Source organism: Homo sapiens, chromosome 12, assembly GCF_000001405.40.
Source record: "Homo sapiens chromosome 12, GRCh38.p14 Primary Assembly".
Taxonomy (NCBI): domain Eukaryota; kingdom Metazoa; phylum Chordata; class Mammalia; order Primates; family Hominidae; genus Homo; species Homo sapiens.
The window spans coordinates 464,601-478,813 of NC_000012.12; the positions used below are offsets into that span (position 1 = coordinate 464,601).

The 14,213-nt window shown below is 45.5% G+C and overlaps 1 protein-coding gene and 1 long non-coding RNA gene across 2 annotated transcripts in view; both read left to right on the top strand.

The window, feature by feature from the left end:
* Window positions 1-14,213, top strand: part of B4GALNT3 (beta-1,4-N-acetyl-galactosaminyltransferase 3) — a 103,571-nt gene that overhangs the window by 4,662 nt on the left and 84,696 nt on the right. The gene's annotated exons all lie outside the window — the stretch shown is intronic.
* LOC124902853 (uncharacterized) lies at window positions 7,139-13,025 on the top strand. The gene is made up of 2 exons (XR_007063151.1): window positions 7,139-10,913; window positions 12,737-13,025. It is a non-coding gene; the product is annotated as an uncharacterized LOC124902853 (long non-coding RNA).

Genomic DNA, 14,213 nt, shown 5'->3' on the forward strand with positions numbered 1-14,213 from the left:
CAGCCTGAGTGACAGAGCGAGACTCTACTTAAAAAAAAAAAATGGTTTCTAGAGATGAAATATCTCAGAGCCAAGGGATGACATTTGGGCGCAAATCCAAGACAGAAGGATGGCATGTGCTGGCTCCTTTTAGATCTCCCATTTAAGTGCCAGGATTACTTGCTGGATCCCAAAGTATTCTGAAGCTCAGGAAGCCGTTGGCTTTCGCTGCCTTACCTCTATCTGTACCACATCTCTCTGGTTGGCCTTTGTGACTTCTGGCTGACTCGAGTGGGCTGAGGGAGGCACACCCGCGGTGTGAGGCAGTGACTGCAGCTCTGGCCACCACAGCCGTTCTGATTTGGAAAGGATACAAACCCTCCAGTGAGAGAGGTAATGCAGGGCACAGCAGTAATCTGAGATGCAGGCAGGGAGAGAGGGAGAAGCAAATGAGACAGATGTGTGGGCAGAGGAGGGATAGTGTGGCATGGAGTTGAAACCCAGTGAAGCAGCAAGCACAACCGCCTCGTGTGCTCCTGTGGGCAGGGACTGTGTCTCATGCAGCTCTGGTGGGTGTGTGCCTCTCTGTCCCAGGGAACCTCCTTTTCACGTGGTTTACCTCTCGTGTAGCTCCTTTTCACGTGTCCGGTTTATCGCTCTTTATGCTGATATTCCAGTCACCAGGCTACTATGTGTGTCTTCTAATCAACTTTCAATTCTGGGCACATACTAGGCGCTCAGATAAGTACCTTCTCGTTATGAATGTGTCAGCTCTGAATTTCCAAGCACCTGATATTTTCCACTGGCAGATACTGTGTTTATCAGGGACTGATCCAAGAATAGAACCTAGGAATTCTTGTTCCCTGTACCATAATACATATACACAACAATAGCCTTTGAATACAAATACAGAAGATAAGCGATAAGACATCAATGGTTTTTTTTTTTTTAATCATAAGCGTATTTTCTTTGGGCATTGCCTATACGAGGAATGCAGTTTTTGACAATAGGTGACCTTACCCATATTTAGAGTCTCTCCTTTCCCTGGTCTCTCAGTCCCTGTGCTGATGTGGCCGGCGAACCTCAGCAACACATCTGCCATCTTTACCCTGCCTACTACCCAGGGACCCTCAAGTTGAGGTCCCATTCCCCTGCTTGATGGTGCTGGGGCTGCCTGCCACTCCCTGTCCTGGGAGTTGAGGTCCCATTCCCCTGCTTGATGGTGCTGGGGTTGCCTGCCACTCCCTGTCCTGGGAGTTGAGGTCCCATTCCCCTGCTTGATGGTGCTGGGGCTGCCTGCCACTCCCTGTCCTGGGGGTTGAGGTCCCATTCCCCTGCTTGATGGTCCTGGGGCTGCCTGCCACACTCCCTGTTCTGGGAGTTGAGGTCCCATTCCCCTGCTTGATGGTGATGGGGTTTCCTGCCACTCCCTGTCCTGGGAGTTGAGGTCCCATTCCCCTGCTTGATGGTGCTGGGGTTGCCTGCCACTCCCTGTCCTGGGAGTTGAGGTCCCATTCCCCTGCTTGATGGTGCTGGGGCTGCCTGCCACTCCCTGTCCTGGGAGTTGTTCAGACGCTGTGCATGGTTATAACTGCTTTGTAGCACAAGGTCTTCTGAAAGTGCTTCCGTGCTGGCTTCTGGAGAGGCTGGTAAGTACGCTGCAGTAATTTTCCAGGCCATGGAGCCTGGGCTTGCCCTCTAGTGCTGAGCTTTGTGGAGCAGAGCAGAGCAGCCGACATAGCAGAGTTTGCTTTGGAAGGGGTCCTAGAGGCTGTTCTTGGAGTTGGCCGCTCGCTGTCTAGTTCTCCTCTGCAGCGTTCCACCAGTCTCAAAAACTACGCTTTTATTTTCCACAAGCACTTTTCGTTATATGTAAAGATTATGTGGTCTCAACTAGGCCAACCAGACATTTGGAGTTTTCAGACAATTCTTTGACCTTGTGATTCACATAATTAATAGATTTATATGTTAACCACTATACAAAAATGCGAGTGGAAGAGGTGAGAATAGTCGGATAGTGGCTCTAAAGGGCACTGGGCTGCATGTGTTGTATATTCTGAGCAAAGTGTGACAGATCTTTAAATTTTTGCAGACTCAAGTTAACAAGTGCTACTTTGAATTTAGAAGTATCCATTGGATGAGCAAAAATGAATATTCTTTGTATTCTTGTAATATTTTAGTATATAATTTATTTTTATGTTCAATATGTTCTTTATTTCATAACTACAAAAGGCCTGATACTGACCAACTTTTAAGAAAATAAACATGCAAATCGTCCCTGTGGTTCCTCTTTTTTTTCAAGTATATGTACGGAAAGCTTGATGAGCAGTTTTCACAAACTGAAAATACCTGTGTTGGGAGCACCACGATGAAGACACAGAGTATTACCAGTACCCCAGTACCCCGGTGGGGGCGGTGCTATGAATCACTACCATCAGCATAGATTAGTTTAGCATATTTTAATATTTTATATAAATGGAATAATACAGATTGTGGTTCTTTTTTTATTAGCAATTTTTTAAATTAAATTAATGAAAGTATTTTTTGAGACTGAGTCTTACTCTGTCTCTCAAGCCAGAGTGCAGTGGTGTGATCTTAGCTTATGCAGCCTTGAACTCCTGGGCTCAGTGACAGGAGTGAGCCACTGTGCTCGGCCTCATTTTAAAATGATATTCTTTATGATGATAAAAATAATGCAGCCAGGTGTGGTGGCTCACACCTGTAATCCCAGCACTTTGGGAGGCCAAGGTGGGCAGATCACTTGAGGTCAGGAGTTCGAGACCAGCCCGGCCAACATGATGAAAGCCCATCTCTACTACAACTACAAAAAGTAGCTGGGTGTGGTGGTGTGTGCCTGTAGTCCCAGCTACTCGGGAGGCTGAGGCACAAGAGTCGCTTGAACCTGGGAAGCAGAGGCTGCAGTGAGCCAAGATGGCGCCACTGCACTCCAGCCTGGGTGACAGCAAGACTGTGTCTTAAATAAATAAATAAACAAAATAAAATAGGGATAAAAATAATCCATGCTTATTATACTAGACAACAGCTGTGTATCTGGACCACATTAACCCTGCGAAAGCACTTTTTTGCCTTTAGGCACCACAGCATCACTAACAAAATAACCTAAGGCCAAGGAAGACCAGGGGCCTCAAGACTGCAGGATACATAGTAGCCTCTGGAATTCTCCAGTAGCACCCTGCCAGGGTGGAGTTGAGAACTGTTGCTCATTCCTGTATGAGAACGCTCTAAACATGTTTCTTCTGGTCTTGGTCTTAGAAACAGCTGTGCTTCTCTTGAGCGGTTTGTTTTAATTTCTATTGGTCACGTAAGTTGCATAATCACTCAGATTTCTCTCGTCGTGTTGGTTACTAGGAAGCTTTAGGGTTCAGTTTTTTCTTCACCTGGAGAAAAGTGTAAAGGATTTTATGATCTGTATTTTTCTACTAATTTTATGACTGTACCTTTATTTTATCTCCCCACTCCCACAACTAACTACTTCCAGTTTATGTCATCTTATCTTATATGGTCATTGTAAACTACTTTAGTTTTTCCTGGACCAAATCAAGGCATAAAATAAATCAACAAAAGTGCTATGGTATACATACAAATATGAAGAAGAAATGAACAATCACCTAAAATGTCACCACTCTGACCTAGACATTGTTGAAAAAATGAAGTGTAATAAGCAGTGATAAGCAGATGTTGGATTCCAGGATGCCTTAGACAAAAAGTCTGGATTTAAAAACTTAAAAAGCCAAAAAAGTATTGCCCTGACCTTTTTGGGGGTCTTTATTTAGGTACTGAAAAGTTGAATCACATCCACAAATAAATTATTACGTCTTTCCATATAAGAAGACTACCAAAAGCTTAGAATTTACTGACAGATATTGGGGACTGAGCCACTTTTGTTGAAAACAGTGACACCATACAAGGCAAATTCAATAAAATTGGAGGCATCCTTGACACTACCGAGAGAACAGCCGAGAGACTGGCCAGGAAGGCCAGAAACCTGGTGTGTCATGTGGGCACCCATCCCTGCAAAGGTCTCACACCAGCTCCTCACACCAGCAAGGACACCTCAACATGAAGATCTATGGCTGCTGCCAGCCTGTGGCTTTTGGATGCATAAAGTCACAAACTAATTTAGAGACCTAGCCCCTGTATTAGCAGCTGAGAATCCCTGCCCAGGGAATAGACTTCATGTGTCTCTTCCACCCATTTCTTCTTTGAAATTGTGTTCTCGTGGTGCCTAGCAGAGGCTATGTGTGTGTCTCACTCTGCACAGCTCACATTCTGCTTTGTGGCCACACGACCCAGGAAGAGGGCCCACAAATGGACGAGAATAGAGAGAGGTGGGAGTGGAAATAGAGAAACCACATTCCAGGCCGACCAAAGACTTTATGTATAAATGCTCAGGAAATTGAACGTTGTGTATTCTGCAGTTTTTATTTATTTTGTAAACCTTGAGTGGCTGCAGAAGTGATTCATTCTAAACTTAAAGCAGAATGTTTATGGAGCATTTACTTTTTGTGGCAGACTCTGAGTGGACTGAAAAGCATTGATAATTCCTGGAAAAACTGTGGAGTCTGAAGGCAGGGCAAGGTTCCAGTTCAAGCGCCATGACTCACCAATCGTGAGACCTTGTAGGAAGGTACTTATTCCTTTGTAAGTCTCGGGAGCCTTGTCTGGGTAGTGGAGCTATAATGCTGTTCCCGTAGAACTTTCCTTATGACTAAATGAGGTTTAGTGAGCCGAGCACATATTAGGATCTCAATGAATATTGGTTCCCATCTCCTCCCTCTCAGTCTGATAGGAATTAGAGAATGGCTGGGCAGGAGGGGACAAATAGACACATTCCTCAACTGGCCCTTTTTCCAGTGCTTCTTAAACTTCTCAGCCCATGACACAGCTGTGTCCAGTACCCCAGCATTACTGTGCCATCCATATCCAGCACTTGCCACCAAATACACATTCTTCAATCACTTTTTTCCTCCATGATGTTCAGCAATGCCTGCATCTTTCCATCCCAGGCAAAGATTTATATTAGGGGTGGGGGCCAGGTTAGGAGTCAAGGATTTTGCGGAGAACGAGAGCTGTCTGGGGGGCTGTACCAGGACACAGAAGCACAGCAACTGGGAAGCGATAGCCTCTCACTCTGCTGCATACCCCTGTGTACACACTGGGATTTCTGGGACTAAAAGGCAGGAACACCTGGCAGTTATCTCATTATTTATTTATTTTTAAAAAATTTTGTTTTTAGAGATGGGGTCTCACTATGTTGCTCAGGCTGGTCCTGAACTCTTAGGCTCAAGGGATCCTCCCACCTCAGCCTTCCAAAGTGCTGAGATTACAGGCATGAGCCACCGCGCATGGCCAGTTAATGTACACCGTGCATGGCCAGTGTACATCCTAGCTTTGTAACTAATTTGCCTGGTTTCCTGTCTACAGGAAATCAGTTTACCTGTAACTAATTTCCTGTCCTTTTGAGGGCTTCAGTTCCATAATCTTTGGAGTGAGATGCTTCCTTGCAGGAGTAGATTTGGAAGTTGCGCACGTCACTAAGGGGTGAAAGGGACAGTCGGAAGGGAATATCTTTGACATCTGGCCCTGGTCTTTCAAGGCTCAGTCGCCTGAACCGAGAGGTGGCAGCTCTCCCAATAGTTCTGACTGCTTTCGCCTCCAAGGTCATCTCTGACAACATGGTCTCCGTACAAGCAGTTGCCTAAAAGATTAAAGGCCTCCCTGCTGAGATCTTCTTACAAATCCTCTGATCCACTGCTTTCCACCCTGCCTGCCAAGCCCAGGTTCAAACGAATGTGTGCAGTGTGTGCTCACGCACACCTCCCTCACCAGCCAGCTGGTCCCGACTGCTCACCAGCACCTCTTAGCAAAGGTGGGCAGGAGGATGAGGACGTGGAGGATTCCCTCATGGACCAGGCACACAGCGCAATACGTACTCTCTGTCCCGGGTCTCCTTTCTTCCCATTTCAGCTGAGTAGAGGGCCTGGGAAAGGGCAGTGGAGATGGGCAGCACGTCCCAGGTGAATGACTTCCGATAGCAGAAGGCAGGGGACGTTGCACAGGCACAGAAAATGGGTAGAGAAATGAGGGAACGAAATGGAGGGAGAGACCGCTACCCCATTTTTTCATTTTAGTGACTGTTTTGTTTTGTTTTGTTTTGAGATGGAGTCTCGCTCTGTCACCCAGGCTGAAGTGCAGTGGCACGATCTCGGCTCACTCTAACCTACGTCCCCCAGGTTCAAGACATTCTCCTGCCTCAATCTCCCGAGTAGCTGGGATTACAGGCATGTGTCACCATGCCCAGCTAATTTTTGTATTTTTAGGTTTCGCCATGTTGGTCAGGCTGGTCTCGAACTCCTGACCTCAGGTGATGCGCCCGCCTCAGCCTCCCAAAGTGCTGGGATTACAGGCGTGAGCCACCGTGCCCAGTGTAGTGACTGTATTTTTCATATCTGTAAGTTTTATTTTGTTCTATTTCAAATTTGTTGGGTTTTTAAACACTACATTGTGGCTGGGCGCGGTGGCTCACACCTGTAATCACAGCACTTTGGGAGGCTGAGGCAGGCAGAGTTCGAGGTCAGGAGTTTGAGATCAGCCAGGCCAACATGGCAAAACCCTGTCTACTAAAAATACAAAAATTAGCTGGACGTGGTGGCACATGCCTGTAATCCAAGCTACTCGGGAGGCTGAGGCTGGAGAATCGCTTGAACCCAGGAGGCGGAGGTTTCAGGGAGCTGATTTTGTGCCACTGCACTCCAACGTGGGTGACAGAGTGAGACTCTGTCTCAATAAATAAATAAATAAATAAATAAATAAATAAATAAATAGGCTGGGCACGGTGGCTCATGCCTGAAATCCTGGCACTTTGGGAGGCCGAGGTGGGTGGATCACCTGAGGTCATGAGTTCAAGACCAGCCTGGCCAACATGGTGAAACCCCGTCTCTACTAAAAATACAAAAATTAGCTGGGCATGAGATTACATGCCTGTAATCTCAGCTACTTGGGAGGCTGAGGCAGGAGAATTGCTTGAACCTGGGAGGCAGAGGTTGCAGTGAGCCAAGATTATGCCATTGCACTACTGCCTGGGCAACAGAGCAAGACTCTGTCTCAAAATAATAATAAAAAATAAATAAATAAATAAATATAAATAAACTACATCATTCTTCTGCATTTAAAAAATTTAAAACAAATTTATTTAATTATCTAAAATTGTTGGTTGCAAGAGGCTGCCAATATGTTAGCATCTGCTTACTGCTCTGATTTTTACATCTTCAAATTTGGCTGCTGGAGATTCTCTTACCTTGTGGAGGGCTTTACTATGTAAATAAAACAGCAGTTTGTCATACTTCATCTAGCATTTTTAATATTTTGCTGTGGGTATTTTCCAAAAGGAAGTCCTCTGGCTTGAATTTCTAATACCTCCTCCAGCGACAGCAGGCTGTTGTTATTCGGGTGTGTGTGTCTAAGCAAAGGTGAATATTTCCATTTGAGGAATATAGCATAAGCTAAGTGGAAAGTCTGGGGAATACAAACTTTTGTAGGGAACACAAGTTCTGTAGTGCAGAGGCTTGAAGGAGATGAAGATGAAATGGTAGTTGCAACCTCATTGTGGACTCTCCTGAGGGCCAGGTTGCTGAGTTTGGACTTGGTAGGGAGCAACATACATTTATTTTATTGATTAACTGATGTTTTTTATTTTTAGAGACAGTGTCTCAGTCTGTTGCCCAGCCTGGAGTTTGGTGGCATGATCATGGCTCGCTGCAGTCTCAAACTCTTGGACTCAAACAATCACCCCACCTCAGCCTCCCAAGTAGGCAAGACTGCAGGTGCATGCCACCATGCCTGCTTATTTTATTTTATTTATTTTTTGAGACGGAGTCTCGCTCTTTCGCCCAGGCTGGTGCATCTTGGCTCACTGCAAGCTCCGCCTCCCGGGTTCACGCCATTCTCCTGCCTCAGCCTCCCGAGTAGCTGGAACTACAGGTGCCCGCCACCACGCCTGGCTAATTTTTTGTATTTTTAGTAGAGGCGGGGTCTCACAGTGTTAGCCAGGATGGTCTCGATCTCCTGACCTCATGATCCGCTGGCCTTGGCCTCGCAAAGTGCTGGGATTACAGGCGTGAGCCACCGCGCCCGACCTATGCCTGCTAATTTTAAAATTTTCTTTGTAGAGACAGAGTCTCACTATGTTGCCTAGGCTGGTTCAAACTCTTGGACTCAAGCAATATTTTTGCGTCTATCTCCAAAACTGCTGGGATTACAGGCACAAGCCACTGTGACTGTGTCTAGCCAACATAAATTGTTTAAAGCAGGAGTTTGATATGGAGGGAGTGTTTTCTTTTTTTCATCCACTGATTTGTACTTTAATTGTTCAAACACTTTTTTTTTTTTTTTTTTTTGGATACAGAATCTTGCTTTTTCACCCAGGCTGGAGTCTAGTGGTTCACTGCAGCCTCGACTTCTTCAGCTTAAGCAATCCTCCTGCCTTGGCCTCCCTAGTAGCTAAGACCACAGGCATACACCACCATGCCTAGCTAATTTTTAAACTTTTTGTAAAGATGGGCCTCAGTATGTTGTCCAGACTGGTCTTGAACACCTGGGCTCAAGCAATCCTCTTTCCTCAGCCTCCCAAAGTGCTGAGATTACAGGCGTGAGCCACCCCACTGCCTTTAAATACTTACCAACCCCTTCTACATCCCAGGAACTTGTGACTGTAGGTTGATTAGGCTGTTGGAAGTTTGCAGGATGGCTAGGATGTAGTGAGGTGGTTACTGCAGTGACCGAGAGGGTGGGTGGTGAGCGCCTAGCCGGAAGGAGTGGCAGATGAAAGCTGAGACATGTCAAGGCAGGAAGTGACAGAGTTTGGCAGTAGGGTTGATGGAGAAGGTGATGGAATACCAAAGTTGTGGGTTTCATACGTGGGTCTCTGGCTGTACTCTGCCACAATCATTTAATTAAGGGTTGTCTTGTGCATCCAGCATCTCAGAAATGGTCTCCTGAGAAAAAAATGCCTTCATTTGTCCTTGTACTTTCCTCTCTGGAGCTTGAGTACCATGGTGGTCCTACAGAAGAATGCAAAGGGTGGGGAGGCAGACATTCATTCAGCAGGTGTTTACTGAGCACTTGTTATATGCCAGGCTATGCTCTGGGTGTTAGGGAGATCATGGGGAACAAGAAGTTGGAAGAGTTTGCCATCACAGAGCATACATTTCTGGTGAGGAAGAGACAGAGGATAATCGCGTAAACAAACAGATCGGGATTTGAGATGGTGATGCTATTTGGGAAGAAAAAGAAGCAATAATCGCACAAAGGGACTAGCTTGGAGGATGAGGGGGCTCTCCCAGAAGTGACAGTCCTAAGACAGATAACTCAGGGCTGGAGGACATGACACCAAAAGGGTGTCAGGATTACAAAGACCTCAGGAATTTGGAGAATGGGAGCTGGGTAGAAGAGGAAAAAAATGTAGAACAGAGTCATTGCTGGTTTTCAGGATAAGCGTCTCCTTCCTAATCCATTGTCCTGAAAACAACGTCCTCCTTCACCTCACTGGCAGGAATAGAGTCAGCCTCAGACTTGGAGTTTTCTACCAGGAGTGCTTGAGAAAGAGGTACTGGCTAAAGACTGTCTGGGCTGGGCAGAAAATGATCGTGGCTTTCTTCTTCATCACAAACCCAGATCCCAAAACCAGTATGGGGGGATGGGGGATGTCCTATTGAAAGCCAGACTGGAACTAACCCCGTCCCCTCCCTCACAACACTTTTTCCGCACGTCCATTAGTACACTTATCAACCTTAGCATTGGATCAGAGTTATTTTTGTCTGTTTGTCTTCCCCCATGAGATTGTAAATTTCTAGATACTGGACCTGGGCATTTCCCCCTCTTTGTGGAGAGATTTTTAACCTTTTGTGGATCACATACATCCGTAAGAATCTGATGAAGAGGCCAGGCACGGTGGCTCATGCCTGCAATCCAGCACTTTGGGAGACTAAGGTAGGAGGATGGCTTGAGCCCAGGAGTTTGAGACCAGCATGGGCAACATAGCGAGACCCTGTCTCTACATAAAATTTAAAAATTAGCCCAGGCCAAGCATGGTGGCACACACCTGTAATCTCAGCATTTTGGGAGGCTGAGATGGGTGGATCACTTGAGTCCAGGAGTTCAAGATCAGCTTGGGCAACATCGTGAAACCCTGTCTACAAAAAATATAAGAATTAGCTGGAAGTGGTGGCACTACTATAGTCCCAGCTACTCGGGAGGCTCAAGATCACTTGAGCCTGGGAGGCAGAGGTTGCAGTGAGCCAAGATTGACCACTGCACTCCAGCCTGGGTGACAGAGGGAGACCTTGTCTCAAAAAAAAAAAAAAAAAAAAGCCAAGTGTGGTGGTGCATGCCTGTGGTCCCAACTACTCAGGAGGCTAAGGTGGGAGGATCACTTGAGCCCAGGAGTTTGAGGCTGCAATGAGCTATGATCTCACCGCTGTACTCCAGCCTGGGTGACAGAGTGAGATCCTATCTAAAAAGAAAGAAAAGAAGAGAAGAGAGAAAAGAAAAAAGGAATCTGGTGAAGAAACGGTTACACTTTCCCCAGAAGTTTGCTCGTCTCCTGTATATTTTGCATACTATTTTGGGAGGAGGTACACAGTCCCCTGACCCCTATACATGGATCCCTAGTTAAGAACTCTGCCTGAAGCTTTACCCAGTGCCTGGTATGTTCTTGGAGTCTGATGACTTGGGAATATTCTCCTTATTAAATCTCCTTGCTCTAGTTGCAGGGGACAGATGTTAGGTGGGAGAAAGAGAGCCAGGAAGAACCCTGCTGCTGGGAGATGCAGAAGAGTGTTTAAATCATCCATCTGGAAGCAGCCATCCAGAGAGCAGTAGCTTCACCCTCACTTCCTGTCCCGGCAGAACCGGAGGTGGGGTCTCCTCCCTGGGCTTGGTCTTCCCTTGGGCTCTGCCGCGCCTCCTCTTCGCCCTGTGCCTGCTGTTTTCCAGTCTCATGACATCCCTCTGCTTGTCTTTCAAAACTCTGCTTATCCTTCTCTCTCATCTCTTCCCTGAAGCCTTCCTCAATTATTTTAGAACCAGCTGACTTCGTTCTTTCTGGAACTTGTGTTGCACCTAAGTTTTCTGAAACTTACAATTGATCACTGACTTTCTTTCATTCCTACTTCATCTGGGTTGGTCTTGCGTGTCCCAGCTAGGTTGCTAGAGAAGCCAAAGATGGCTCCAGAGTATCTGGTTAGGACAGTTTGCTTCACTCTCCCCACAGCATTGATGGAATGCTTGGAAGAGGCAGGCAGTTCCCTTAGAATCGGGTCGGCGCAGGCTTCGCTGTGCCCGTGTTTCCTCCGTATGGACATGGCCATCCTTGCTGCCTTAACTTCTGGCATTGCTGTTGTGCCCTCCAGGCCATCTGCTGCTGTCTTTGGTCCTCCATTTCTTCCTTCCTTTACCATGGCATAGTGGTGAGAAGCTTTGAAGTCAGACTACGTGACTTTGATCCCCGGCTCTTGTCCTTAGTCAGCTGCGCCTCAGTGAGCATATTATTGAGCCTCAATATGTCCCAGTTTCTTCTCTGTAAAATGGGACTATTAATGGTACCTGTCTCATTGTGTTTTTGTTGTGACAATTAAGTGAAATAATACAGATAAAGTACTTAGAACAGTTTCTAATACATAGTGTTTGATAAATGTTAGCTGATGGCTGGACACAGTGGCTCACATCTGTAATCGCAGTGCTTTTAGAGGTTAGAGGCTGAGGTAAGAGAATCCCTTGAGGCCGGAAGTTTAAGACCAGCCTGGGCAACATAGCAAGACCCCCATCTCTACCAAACAATAAAATAAAATAAAGAAAAATTAGCTGGGCATGGTGGTGTGCACCTGTAATGCTAGTTATTAATACTTGGGAGGCTGAGGCAGGTGGATCGCTTGAGCATAGGAGTTGGAGGCTGTAGTGAGCTGTGATCACGCCACTGCACCCCAGCCTGGGTGACAGAGCAAGGCCCTGCCTCATAAATAAATAAATGCTTATCTGAGCGCCTAGTATGTGCCCAGAATTGAATGTTGATTTGAAGATACATGCAGTAGATGTTAGGCGCCATTGTTTATTATAACTTAATCAGCTTTTCAATACCCTCTGTCCCTGTTTTGATTGGTTTTAGCATGCTGACTTTCACATATCAAAGAATCCTAGGACAGGGTGGACCCCAGGGGTGCAGACATGGAAGAAAACCAAAAGCAAAGCAGAAGTCCAGAGATTTTAAATTCTGAAATGGATTATATCTGCATTTCTTCTTCTAGGCCCATGGCAGACATCTCCAATAGAACATGAAATTCTTTTACCGAGCTCAGCTGCAGCCTCAGAATTTTCTCAACATTTCTCACCAGGCAGTCACTACAAATTGACTTGAGCTGCCCCTTAAAAAGGTTATCTATTTACCCAGCCTCCTGATTTTACCAGTGAAGAATTGAAAGCCTGGAGAGCTTTAATCAACCTGCCCATATAGCAGTTTATAGGACTCCTGGTGCCTAGACTATTGTTTACAACACACCATGCCACTCACCCTCTGCCTTCGCTCATTCCCTTTTTGTTTGCTGAGGATGCCTCCTTTTAACATCTGAGTTTCACGAGGTCAGGGAAGATCCTTTCTTTTTCTAACTGCCCTAACAATCTGGTAGTATATTGTGCCTGCATATAGACCAACCTCAAGTCTATTGATCTATTTTTTTCTTACCAGTGAACTAGCTGAAGTTATTGCCACTCAGTTGGGGGTGGATCATGCATGTTCCCAACTCAGCTGCCTTTAGGGGTGATCCATGCACTGACACCCTGCATTGACATTGATATTGGAGAGTAACCTGCAAAGAAGTTATTGTTGATGTTGAATTGAATTTTCACATTGCACGAGAAAGGCCAAGGCTCGACATTCTTCATCCAACAGGTTCCTTTGTTGCACACTCCCGTCCTGAGAAACGGAACCCATTCCAGTGTACAGCTTCTTAAATAAAAGGCAAATGGAGTCATGATTTCCTCTCTCACTTTCTTGAATCGAGAAGGGATGGGAAATAATGAATAGATGAAGTTGATTTTAGATCAGAAGAATCCTGGAACACATGAATGATGAAGCCCTTTGGTAGACAGATTCATGATGTATTTAAAACATTGCTGTCTTATCCGTTATTCTTCTCTCTGTGTAGAAATATACAAGTTGATGAGGGCAGATATTTTCATAATCCTAGTTCTGTTTAGCAAATGGAAGTCCATTACTGGCAGTGTGAGGGTAAAAAGTGAAATGGGTAACAGATTAAAGAAAAGTGGCAGAGAGGTAGCAACAAATAGGTTCAGAACATGTTTGGAAGATTATAGAGGGGGCACAATGGTTCAGAATGCCTGCAATCCTGGCACTTTCAGAGGCTGCTGTGGGCATATTGCTTGCACCTAGGAGTTTTAGAGCAGCCTGGGCAACATGGCAAGACCCCATCTCTACAAAAAATTTAAAAGTTAGCCAGGCATGGTGGCCCAACCCTGTAGTCCCAGCTACTTGGGAGGCTGAGGTGGGAGGATCGCATGAGCCCAGGAGATCAAGGCTGCAGTGAGCTGTGTTCGCACTACTGCACTCCAGCCTGGGTGGCAGAGTGACACTCTGTCTTTAAAAAAAAAAAAAAAAAAAAAATTAGAGGAGGTAAAAAAAAAAAAAATATTCAAGCCTGATTTAGCTTGTTGAATGAGAATTCAATTTTGCTTTGATGCATGAAAATTGAAAAAATATTTGCATAAAGAAAATTCTCCAGTAGTAAAGCTTTAATTAGGTTGCTTAGGAAATACCACCTGTCTGTTTTAGGGAAGTATTTATTGATTGAAGCAAGAGCTATCAAATTGGAAGTCAACATTTACCATTTTGAGAAAAAGAAATGGGCAAAAACTACCCAAGGTACTTGTTAATACAAAAAAGAATAGGGAAGTTCAGTTTCTGGGATATAGAAATTGGTTGTGATATTTTCAGTGATGATTCTTCTAGCAGCTTTTTCAACAGGAAAAAAAATCCTTAAGAAAGGGTTTTTCTATCTTTTTCTGATCCTTTGTATCTCTAAGAAGGTTGGGAAAGTTCCAGGGTGGTGAACACTTTCTCCAGCCGGCAGGGTTTTCACGAACCAATCTTGGGAAGGAAGGGGTGGAAGGGCAGGCAAACAACAGTACCCTGTTTTTACATAGAA